The 12,932-nt window shown below is 36.5% G+C and overlaps 1 protein-coding gene across 3 annotated transcripts in view; it reads right to left on the bottom strand.

Annotated features, from left to right (window-relative positions):
• Positions 1–12,932, bottom strand: part of MACROD2 (mono-ADP ribosylhydrolase 2) — a 2,057,682-nt gene that overhangs the window by 1,730,796 nt on the left and 313,954 nt on the right. The window lies entirely within an intron of this gene.

The raw sequence follows: 12,932 nt of genomic DNA, 5'->3' as shown, positions 1-12,932 counted from the left end.
ATATTGATATTTTCCAGTCAGTATACCTTTCATGAGCATAGAAAAGTTTGTGTATGTTCTAAAATACACCTTTTGATTATGTTGCCTGGAATAAATCAGAAACATGTTTTATACTAGCAAATACACAGAGCACCAAGAGGATACAAGTTTTTTCTTTACCTACGCTTGCTATAAAATCCAGTTGCTTTGCAAAATACAAAATATATATATATATATATATATATATTTCAATAGAATATCAAGATACAAGTCTCCACCTTAAAGGGCACTCAATAATTATACATACATTTCCATGCATCCCAAACTAAATGATATTAATAAGACTAAATTCCAAATCAGGTACTAACAAATTTATAGGGAAAAAGAATCCAATTCTGAATATATAGCATATAACTTTAACAAAAACAACAACAAAAAAAAACTGGGAAAGCTACAAAAAACTAGAGGAAAAAAATTACTCCCTTGCTAAATGTTTGACAAAAATCAAAAATTGTTTTTAGATGCAGCCATTTGTAACTGCATTTAATCACTGCACTTATTCTTGCTCCCTATTAAAAATGACACTGTGCTCTATCTTACAGGAAGGCCGATTTATTAAAAGTATTATTCCCCTATTCCAAACAAACTAGTGAAAAGAACTTGGCTTTAGTAACTACAGTTTCTGATTAATGCATATTTTATAGCTACATGCCAACATGACAATTTCATGAGGAATCCAAAGAGAGCTACATGCCCTAAAGCATCTGAAGCATGAGTGTTAATGGAATCAATCCACCAATGAATGTACTATTAGTTCATTGCTGCTGAAAATGGTAGCAGCATTTAAAATTCTAATTCCTTTTTCCTTCTTAGCATGATTAACAAATCTTAATTTAGCATAGTCTTAGAATTACAAACACCGTACTTTTTGTTTTGGGACTTTTTGTTAAATTAGCAAAAAATAACTCCTGCTTATCAATCACTTTTTAAGAACTTCAAAGTTCTCTACAAATATTCTTAACTAGTCAATGACTTTTACTGACTGGCTTTTTTTTTTTGAGATGGAGTATCACTCTGTTATCCAGGCTGGAGTGCAGTGGCACAATCTTGGCTCACTGCAACCTGTGCCTCCTGGATTCAAGCGATTCTCCTGCCTCAGCCTCCCGAGTAGCTGGGATTACAGACTTGCGTCACCACACCCAGCTAATTTTTGTATTTTTAGTAGAGACGGGGTTTCACCATGTTGGCCAGGCTGGTCTCCAACTTCCAACCTCAAGTGATCCACCCACCTCAGCCTCCCAAAGTGCTGGGATTACAAGCGTGAGCCACCACACCCAGCTGGCTTCTTTTTTATAAGTAGCAGATGGCTTGCCTTCAAGAAGTGTGCTGTCTACCAATTATTAGGCATAAACAGCAGTGACCGTTCACTGCTCTGCAGTAAAAAGGAAGAAACAACTACATCTATTTGAATAGCTCAAGGAAGACCTCATGAAGGAGATAGGATAGGTGTTGAAGGGTAAGAAGGAATTTAAAGAAAAGCACATACTGGTTATGAAGAAAAAATGTGACCAAAATTATCGAGAAATAAAAATGGGCAATGTTTCTCAACCCTGGCCTTGGTCAGAATCACCTGAGGGAGGTTTTTATTAAGAGGTTTTATTGGGGTCTGATTAGGCCCCAGTAAAGACTTACTAAATTAAAAGCTCCCAGATGAAGGCTAGGCATGTACATTTCAAAAAAAAAAAAAAAAAAAAAAAAATTCCAAAGGTGATTATGATGTGGTCAAGGACCACTGATTTAGGAGGTGTTTGGATAAAGGCCAATAGTCCAACTGAAATACAGGGTCCATGAAGGAGGTAAGACTGGAAAGGTATATTTTCCATTAGGCTTTGTAGTGTGTTGAATTCCAAGCTGAGAAGTCTGCATTGATATTCTTTGGCAATGACTCTTAAGCAGGTATATAAATGATCAGTGCACTTCAGGCAACATTTTATAAAAATAAAAAATATTGCTTAAAGATGAATGGGAGAAACTGGGAACAAGAAGACAAGTTAGACGGCTATGCAGTATTTCAGGCAAGGGGAAATAAGGGCCTGAACAGCGCACTGCCAGTGGAATGGGGTCAAAAAAGAAATAAAGAAAAGAAAGCTTTAATTAAAAAGATACAGTAAAAAAAGTAGAATATTGAAGATGATGAAGATTTTCAGCACAGGTAAGTAGAATGTTGGTGAGGCAATTAATAAAGATGGAAAACAACTGAGAAGAAACAGATTTCAGAGTATTTTGTAAATGTTGGCTTTGAACAGGTGACTATGTGCGCAGTACAGGTTTACATCTGCTAATTATTAATAGTGCCCTCTTCAACCCTCCACAGTGACCCAGTTTAGATAATAAATTAACATGACCTTAGGTTTACATTATCCCTCTGGACATGTCTACAGAATGTTACAAAGGAGGATGTGGGGACATATCCTCAGCATCAGGAAGGGAAACCACATCTAAGAGGTGAGTATTAACATTGAGAGGGCGGATGAGATAATCAACAGAAAATAAGCAGAGAGAAAAGAGGTGCCAAAGGAGAACTTACCCTTTGTAGCAGGGGAAGAAGAAGAATCCACATCAAAGAAACAACAAACAAAAAGGGGGGGATTGCAGAGGAGGGAAAATAATCACAGAAAGAAAATATTATGGAGTCAAGGAAGGAAAGTATTAAAAAAGGAGGATGTCAAAAATGTTATCAGGGTAAAGACATAGAAGAGGTCACCACTGAATATGAAAAATGAGGTGACCCTTGGGGATTATGAAAGCAGCGTCTGCAGAGTAATGAGGGAAAAGCCTCTAGGGTGCTGACAGGATAATGGGAGATAAAGAAAACAGAAACAATGATTAAGACTACTCTTTCAAGAAGTTAAGAGGGTGAAGGGGTCTTGTTGGGTCATGGGGAGGAACAAGATAGAAAAAAAGGAAGTGAACACCAGGAGGGAGATATATCAACCTGAGGAAGAAGATGGGAGTATAGTGAGAGGAATCTACAATGAAGACAGGAAGAATATTTAATAGGAGAAAAGAAAGTTGAGATGCCCAAGAGGTGCGGCCTAAGCCATGACTGTGGCTCTAGGATGCCTGAAATAAAGACCGAGAAGCTACAGTTTTACAAGAATCACTAGCTAGGAGAACAAAGTCACTGAGAGAGATGGAATGAGTTGGTATGAAGGTAAGGTTTGTAGTTCAGGCTCTAAGGAAGATGGGGAAATGTCCCAGAGATGAAGAGGATGGAGAAGATGATGGGATTAGGTGATGCATATATAAAATACAGACTTCAGAATAAATGTTTTTGAATAATGATGACAGAAGCATAGTCACATCTTTCATGTTTGGAGAAAACATTTTTGAGATTACCTACCTACATCCCACACCTCTCCCCTACCCTACTTTAATCAAATGTTGGTAGTTTCTAGAGATGGAGGAAACAGGAAAGGTCATCCTCAAGCAAAAACGTCAATTACTTCAAGACTGTGGGAAGAATGCTAAGAAAAATGCCAATCACATGGGAAATTGGAACCCAAAAGAAAAAGATTGCAGTGGCCTAGTAAAAGCAGTTAGAAAATGATCCAGAAGGGAGATAATATTCTCAGAAAGAAACAGACATGAAACAGGAAAGCAGAGTGGGAAGGGCATTGCACCTAGGACTCTAACAGATAATCAGTTACACAGGCTGCTGGTCATAAGAGGTGGGTGGAAACTCTTATTCTAAATAGTATAGACATTAAGAACAGATTAAAAGAAGAACAAGAATAACCACATTAACCTTGCTCTATTCTTCACACTTTGAAACAGAATTAAATCCAACTTTATCTCAAAATACACACTGAAGAAGTATTTTTACTCATGTAAACTTTCACTGGGCTTACCTACAAGTATCATAAGATTCCAGGCAAAGAGGTAAGCAAATCACATTATGAACCCCTCCCACTCCCTACCCCTATCTCATTTTTATGTTATATGGCTAGAATGAGATTAGAAATAAACTTCAAGGTTGCCTTCAAAGTTTTTCTTTTTTAAGAGGCTTCAAAAGGAAGCATGCAGCCACGGGGGTGTGGAAGTTGGGGATAATGGGATTTTACAGATTGATTACGTGCACACATAAAAGCAGTGCTTCTTTTTCAATGCCAGCTGGCTGGAGTGGAGGGAGGATAGTCTAGGCAATTACTACACAAAGTAATACCCTGTTGAATGTATGTTGGGGGCTCTGATAATTGTGACAACATAAAACTGAGGCTAGTTCATATCAATGTTCCATTAAAAAGCATGGAATCACTGCTGGAAACTCGCATTTTAATTTCCTTAATATGGGGATCAATGTTAATGAATATACCCAGAAAAGGCTAGATTAAACAAAAGTCTAAAAAAAGTTTCTCTTTCTAAAATATGTTCTATAAATATTAGTGACGTCTTACACATACAGTGGGCTTAATAAGTGCCTGCTGATTACGTTGTTGCTGCTACAGACCCTACCATTTGTTGAAGACTTTGTCAAGCCCAGCATTAAGTATTTTAGATCTTTTAATCTCATTTAATTCACACAATAACTTTAGAGATAGGAATTATTATCCCTATTTTTCAGAAAAGCAAATTAAGACTTCGAAAGGTCATAGAGATTTGTTATCCATTCAACCTTAACAATGATGTACTGAGTATCTGTTCAATGACTGTGGCTGGAGTTGGGTGTACAGCAGTAGACCAAAAAGACATGAAGATTATGGTTGGGGGAGGACAGGAATCCAGATTTTTTTTTTTTTTTTTTTTGAGACAGTCTCACTCTATCATCAGGCTGGAGTGCAGTGGCGCAATCTTGGCTCACTCACTGCAACCTCCACCTCCCAGGTTCAAGCGATTCTCCTGCCTCAGACTCCCAAGTAGCTGGGACTACAGGTGCATGCCACCACCCCCAGCTAATTTTTTGTGTTTTTAGTAGAGGGGTTTCACCATGTTGGCCAGGATGGTCTTGATCTCTTGACCTCGTGATCCACCCGCCTTGGCCTCCCAAAGTGCTGGGATTACAGGCATTAGTCACCGTGCCCACCCAGGAATCCAGATATTAAACAAAACTCAAAGGAATATAAAGTGAAAAACTATGATAGGTACCATGAAAGAGAAAAACATGGTGCTATGAGTGAGCATAACAAGAGAACCTACTTAGATTGGGTGGTAAGAGAAAGCCTAAGACCCGAGAGATAAAGAGTCAGCCATGTAAAGAGTAAAATGAACAGTGTTCTGAGCACAGGAAACAGGCTGTGTTAAAGTTGCAAATAGGAAATCAGCTTAATGTGTTTAAGGATTAGAAGAATTCAGGTGACTTACACTCAGTGATCAAGACGTAGGTGAGATCAGCAAGGTAGGCCTGAATAAGGAGTCTGAACTTCATTCTAGCATAAAAGAAAGAAAACGGGCAGTTTTTAAGAGGGCAGGGAGGAATAAGGGGAAGATAGGGGGTGGAGAGCAGGAGAAGTAAGTAAAAGAGGAGGAGAAGGTGTGGGGATCAGACTGTCAGATTTCAATTGTAATAAGGTCACTCTAGCTACTGTATGGAGAAACACTGTGTGGAACAGAATAGTGGTGGTGAGTAGAGAGGTGGAAAGATGCTCAAAATATTTTGAAGCTATAATGGATTTCTTCTTAAATAGTAAGTAGTAGAACAAGAATTCTGTTACTGAAGCTTGGGCTCTTAACTTCTTCATCAGGGGTGTTCAATCTTTTGGCTTTCCTGGACCACATTGGAAGAAGGAGAATTGTCTTGAGCCACATATAAAATACACTAACACTAATGATAGCTGATGAGCTAAAAATAAAAAATAAATCACAAAAAAAACTCATGTTTTAAAAAAGTTTACAAATCTGTGTTGGGCCACATTCAAAGCCATCCTGGGCTGCCTGTGGCCCATGGGCTATGAGTTGGACAAGCTTGTCTTAAACACTGACCAGAAATACTTCATCAGTAAATTTTTTAATGTTTGAGTCAAGAAAAAAAGATTATTTCCTTTTACTGAGATAACTAGAAAGCATTTTCAGGATTAAATCTCAAAACGTTTAATGGGGAGATGTGACTTTTTCTTCCAATACTTACAGACCTCTGCCCCATGATGCTGAATGATGACTTGGAGTCATCAATAGTCAATGGCTGTCAACTACCCTAAAAGTAACACTTGTCTTTCTTGTAGCTTTCAGTGAATTTAAACTCAGGGTAGACAGAAATAACCTTAATGTCTGGGTTCCCTACAAGATCTGCTCATGATCCCATTGCATCTTCTTAAGAGCCATAGTACAAGAGAATGGAAGTTTCAGATCACTGAAGCTTTTTCCTAGCTTTGCGCTGAAGTTGAGACATACAACTCAAGAGAATACTGACTAGCTTACAAAGTTAACAAATGCCAAGATTATTTTGTGTTTTTCAATAATCTTTAAAAAAATCTGTGAATTATTGTTATGTTATATTCAGAGTACACTTGCCAGACCTACATAAAGACAGACAGGTATAAGAGGTACATATTTACTCCATGCTTTTAGCCAATATATCATAGAATGTTAAAGCTAGAAGATATTTCACCAATTTTGGTGATGTGTACCAACATTTAATTGTTTTAAATCCCCTAATTGTTTTAAAACAATACAATTTTTTAAGTTTGTAGTTGAACTGTAAGTACTTTACAGGTTTTGTTTGTCTATAATGGAAAATCATGTAGCTAATCTATGAATCACAATATGCTTCTAGCTATTAAGCTAACTACTAGCTCATAGTGCTTACCATATAAGAGTTAAATGCTACCTTTGTTATTATCTAATATATTTAATATTTTGCTTATGTGTTATTATCTATATGCCTCATTAAAATGCAAACTCCATGAAAACAAGAGTCTTTTTTTCCCTGTAGTTTCACTGCTAAATCTTTCCAACTTGTAAAACAATGCTTGAAACCTAGTGGACACTTATAAAATATTTGTTGGATGAATGAATAAAAGAATGAATGAACTTCAAACACTTATATCACTAAGTATTACCTGAGACAATCTTGGTGAAAGCTCTTTGTAAACCGTAAGCCACTCTGCAAATGTAGAGTATTAGCATAGACCATTTATTAAGCATTTCATATCCATTATCTCCCTTACTTCCCAGTTCACAAAAGAAACCAAAGTTCAAACAGTTAAAGCAACTTGCCCAATATAACACAGTATAAGTGGTAGAATTAGAATTCCAACAAACAAGTTGATTCCAAATCCAAGTGTCTTGACTCCAGATCTCCTGCCTTTTCTATCTTGCTCTTTATTGTGACATGCTGACTCCAAGTACATAAAACAAAATACACCAGAACACTATTAAATTATATATACAATTCATATTTGAGATAATGACTAAGAGCATTATCTTTGAATTAGACAGACCTAGGTTTGCTTTCCAGTTTTTGCTGCTTATTTGGGATATGGCCTTGGTCAACTTTTCTAAGCCTCAGTTTCACCTTCTGTAAAATAAGGTAGTAATAATGCCTGTCTAATTGTGTGGAAAAAATTATGTATTTCAAGTAGAGGACTTAACTCACGGGTATGGGTTAATGGCTCAAAGTGCCTAAAAAATTTTATTTATTTATTTATTTATTTATTTATTTATTTAGAGACGAAGTCTCACTCTTGTTGCCCAGGCAGGAGTGCAATGGCGTGACCTCAGCTCACCCCAACCTCCGCCTCCCAGGTTCAAGCAATTCTCCTGCCTCAGCCTCCCAAGTAGCTGGGATTACAGGCATGCACCACCTTGCCCAGCTATTTTTGTATTTTTAGTAGAGATGGGGTTTCTCCATGTTGGTCAGGCTGGTCTTTCACTCCCAACCTCAGGTGATCCACCCACCTCGGCCTCCCAAAGTGTTGGGATTACAGGCGTGAGCCACCGCCCACGGCCAAAAAATTTTGTTTTTGTCTTTGATGATAAAAAAACATTTTCTTGGTATCTTATAATACAACCGACACTTCAATATGGAATGACAAAAAGAGGGAAGTGTAGAAACAAATCAACAGACTTTGTTTGCATTTCTATTGTCCCACTGTACTCTGAATTGATTTTACAGAAGCAAATGCTAACAAAGCCATATTTTTCTCTCTCTCCCCCAACACAGAACTGGGCTCATTACATTACTCTGCTGCCTTCTGGTAAAGGTACAAGTGGAAATGTCAACTGCTAAAATGCAGAAGGAATAATAATTTTTTAAAAAAGATTAGTTATCTTAAAGCTGTTAAAATGGTAAAGAAGTCTTCTTTGAGCTTTCCAGAATCCCAGTACATTTTTTTGTTAAATAAGAACACTTATCTAGATGGTTACCTATTAAATCAAAGGCACAGAGTTACTAAAATGTATCAGTGTATAAGCACCAGGAACAGTGTTTCAGATGAATTAGCCACTCTTGGTATTAGAATCACTTTTATTGGGAAAAAGTGTTAACAGCCAGGTACATGTCTCAGGCAACTATAGTCTTGTATTTAACTATAACAGCATGTTGCAAAATCCAGGCTCCTTCTTTCTAGTTCTGAATCCAAATTAGCATGCCTTTGTTCTTGAGAGAGACAGTCTATTCACTGGTTGTCCATGTATGTTTACACAAGACATTCTTATTTCATAGTCTATCAAGGGCTGATCTTTTCCAGCTACAGAAACTTAGTTAACATATTTCTTCAGAAAATTCTTCTATGATGTCTACTAATATACTTAAAGGATTAGGTCTAAGAGTGAGAATTCCGTTTCAATATTTATTATGCTGCAATAGTCTTACCTAGAAGAAGTGCACTAATTCACAAGCACATTAAAGTTTCTCACCTCCCCAGACAAATTTCACACATTTTTCTGCCAATTCTTCGCTTTTCCTTAGAAGTCCCAGACAAAGAGGTAACCATAGATGCCATTAAAACCAATTAACACTTCACCTTCATTTTGGGACAAAAAAAAAAAAAAAAGGAGGGGGAAAGCAGCAGTTTACAGTAAATCTTTAATAATTGTGTGAAAGTAAATTTATAAGTCATTTCAAAGTAAAGGAGAATAGCTTACTTGGGACAGAACAAATGTGGAATATTTAATGTTCAAGTGAAGGAAATTAAGTGCAACTGCTTACCAAATGTTCACAAAATACGCAAGTATTCACCAACTATACTATCCTTTAATGATAAAAACTAGAGGGTTAAGAATTCCTTGAAAGTATGTTAATCCTTATCTCTCCTTCAGCCAGCCTATGACAGATAACAGAGTGACCAATATATTATATTCAAATCTTTCTCAGAGACAGAATTCTATAATATACTGTAGAATCTCTTTAAAAATTTAATGTACACACCAAAGTGTCTTAACGTAGATGTTAAATGTAGACATTTTTAAATGTAGACAATGAAGTGTTATATAATTAGCTTACAGAAAACCACTCAGGTGCTAATACTATTTATATAAAATACTGAAGGGATGACAAGTATGAGTGTTTTCAAACATGCCACTCTGGCGTACAGGATAGTGGTTGTGAAAAGAGTTCTGGAGTTGAGCTACCCCAATTTCAAACCACACTGCTTCTACCACTTACTAGCAGGGCAACTCTGGGCAAAATACTTAATATCTCTGAATTTGCCTTTCGTAATCCCACTTTATAGAATTGGTAAATGAATTAAAAGTACTAAAAGTATATGAAGTACTTAATATAGTAGTGCCTGACACATTAATACATACTTAGATTTGGTGGCTATAGGCAATATATTGCAGGGGTTAATTGTGTAGATTCTGAAATCTGATTTCTCAGGTTCAAGTCCAAGTTTTCCCATATGTTACTTATTTGGCTCTGGGCAAATTATTTCGTCTCTCTATATTAATAGTAATAGATACATGAAAAACATTAGAATAGTGCTTTGTACATGGTAGTGCTCAAAAAATAATTTTTATATTACCTCAACTGAAGTCTCATAGAAGCTAAAATTTAAAGAAAGTAGGAGAGCAGTTTTCTCTTATGATGTTTGACTAGTGATAAAAGTAAATGAACACTATCAATTCAATCCACATCCATAAATCTTTCCTATACACCAACATGCAATTACGCATTGATCAAATTCCCAGTGCAGCCTCACTAGTTTCAAGTTTCTCAGACTTGTCTGATGATACAAGTCACCCAGAGATTGTAACTGAGCAGGTCTGGGGTGGAGGGGTGAGGCCTGGAATCTGTATGCATAATCAGTTTCCAGGGGAGTCTTATGGCTAGGCAGGCTAAGAATCCCTGAGTCAGTTGAAGCTGTGCCCAAACACAGAACCGGAGAAGAATATCTAGCAGTCACATCCACCTAAGAGAATTATTGTATTATAAATATTATGTAATGAAAATGAGAATTTTGAAAATGACTTGTTACTCAGAAAATATTTTATTATTTATCAGTACCAAATATTGATTGAGGGCAATTTGAGCATATTTTATAGTATAATTCACAAAACAGTGTACAAAGGTTAATTGGAAAAGAAACCTACTCTTAAAAATTGAAATAATTTGGGTGGTAACAGTGGTAAACAGAAAGGAAGAACGTCCTCAACAAAGATATGCATACAGGCCGGGTGCGGTGGCTCACGCCTGTAATCCCAGCACTTAGGGAGGCCATGGGGGGTGGATCATTTGAGGTCAGGAGTTCAACACCAGTCTGGCCAACATGGTGAAACCCCGTCTCTACTAAAAATACAAAAATTAGGCAGGCATGGTGGCGGGCATCTGTAATCCCAGCTACTTGGGAGGCTGAGGCATGAGAATCAATTGAACCCAGGAGGCAGAGGTTGCAGTCAGCCAAGATCACGCCACTGCACTCCAGCCTGGGTGACGGAGTGAACTCAGTCTCAAAAACAAACAAAAAAAGATATGCATACAGTTATGTGTCACTTAACCACAGGATATGTTCAAAAAATGCATTGCTAGGCCATTTCATTGTTGTGTAAACACCAGAGAGTGCACTTACACAAGCCTAGATAGTATAGCCTACTACACACCTAGGATATGGTATACCCTACTTCTCCTAGGCTGCAAACCTGTACCGCATGTTACTATACTGAATACTGTAAGCAATTGTAACACAGTGGTATTTGTGTGTCTAAACATAACTAAACATAGAAAAGGTACATTAAAAATATGACATAAAGGATTTTTTAAATGGTACACCTGTATCGGGCACTTACCACAAATGGAGCTTGGAGGACTGGAAGTTGCTCTGGGTGAGTCAGTAAGTGGTGAGTGAATGTGAAGGCCTAGAACATTACTAAACATAACTGTAGACTGTATAAACACTGTACACTTAAGCTACACTAAACGTATTTTAAAAATATTTTTCTTTCTTCAATAATAAATTAACCTTAGCTCACTGTAACTGTTTCATTTTATAAACTTTTAAATTTTTTCAACATTTTGACTTTTATACTAACACTTAGCTTAAACACAAACGCGTTGTACAGCGGCACAAAAATATTTCCTTTCTTCCTACCTTTAGTCTATAAGTTTTTTTCTATTTAAAAAAAAATTAACTCATTTCTTTTACTTTTTAAACTTTTTTCTTAAAGACTAAGTCACAAAGAAACATCTTAGCCTAGGCCTAAAAAGGATCAGGATCACCAATATCATTTTCTTCCACCTCCACATCCTGTCCCACTAAATAACATGCATGAAGCTGTCATCTCCTATGACAACAATGCCTTCTTCTGGAATACCTCCTGAAGGACCTGCCTGAGGCTGTTTTACAGTTAACTTAAAAATAAATAAATAAAAAAAAGTATAGTAAATACATAAACTAGTAAGATAGTCATTTTTTCTTATCAAGGATGATGTACTGTACATAACTGTATGTGCTATACTTTTATACACCTGGCAGCATGGTAGGTTTGTTTACACCAGCATCACCACAAATACGCGAGTACTGCGTTGCACTATGACCTTATGACGGCCATAGGAATTTTTCAGCTCCATTATAATCTTATGGGACCATGATTGTATATGTAGTCCATCATTGGTCAAAATGTCCTTATGCAGCACATGACTGTAATTTTATGGTACCTTTTATCCTGAGGAGTTCATTAAGTGTAGGATCAAGGGTCCTGTTAATCAAGAGGTCTGGTTCTTCAAGAGCTCTGTTACAGTTATTTACAACACTGCTGTCATTGTTAACGGGCTAAAAATGCTAACAATTTTAGAACATTCAAATAAATTAACTACAAAAATTAAAGGGTATAATCATTACTTTTCCTTGATCCTTCTGAACATTAGTTTTTAGAAACAAATTATAGTTTGAGTAAAATTAGCACAAGCATGGATCTGAATTTTTTCAAGAAAAGATAAGAGGAAATAACTTCCTTTCCAGCAAGCCCCCATGCTCACACCACACACGTACCCCATACATGCTGAAACTTCTAAAACTGAAGAGTCTGGAATCTATATGCTAGTAGAAACACACGCAAAACAATTGTGTAGGAAATACTAGCACAATAACATAAAAATAGCACTGATATTCTACTAAATGGAGAACACTTGTAAACTATAGCATAGCAAATGTTTACAGTTTTCAACATAGTTCATTATTAATTTCATTAGCCAACGTGGTCAAGAAGTTATGTATCTGTCCATTTTTTTGTTTATTTGTATAGTTATTACTGTTTAAGATACGAGTTAATACAGTGAAATCATTAGGTAAAATAGAGAAATCATTAGGCAATTCTCTCTATTCTCCTGGTCAGAGAATTTCTGGCTAAATGCGTGAATTTGGAATAAAATAGACTTAAACATAGTCATTATAGCTATTCAAATATTACTGTCCATAGACACATGAGTTAAACTAAAACATATAACAGGTATTACTTAGAATATCACCCGAGGGAACAGGCACAAAACTTCAGGTTTTTCAGTTATCCACTGCCCCAAGAAT

Source organism: Homo sapiens, chromosome 20 (assembly GCF_000001405.40).
Source record: "Homo sapiens chromosome 20, GRCh38.p14 Primary Assembly".
In the NCBI taxonomy this organism is placed as follows: Eukaryota; Metazoa; Chordata; class Mammalia; order Primates; family Hominidae; genus Homo; species Homo sapiens.
Note: the sequence above shows the minus strand (reverse complement) of the source record. Positions and strands in the feature narration are given on the sequence as shown.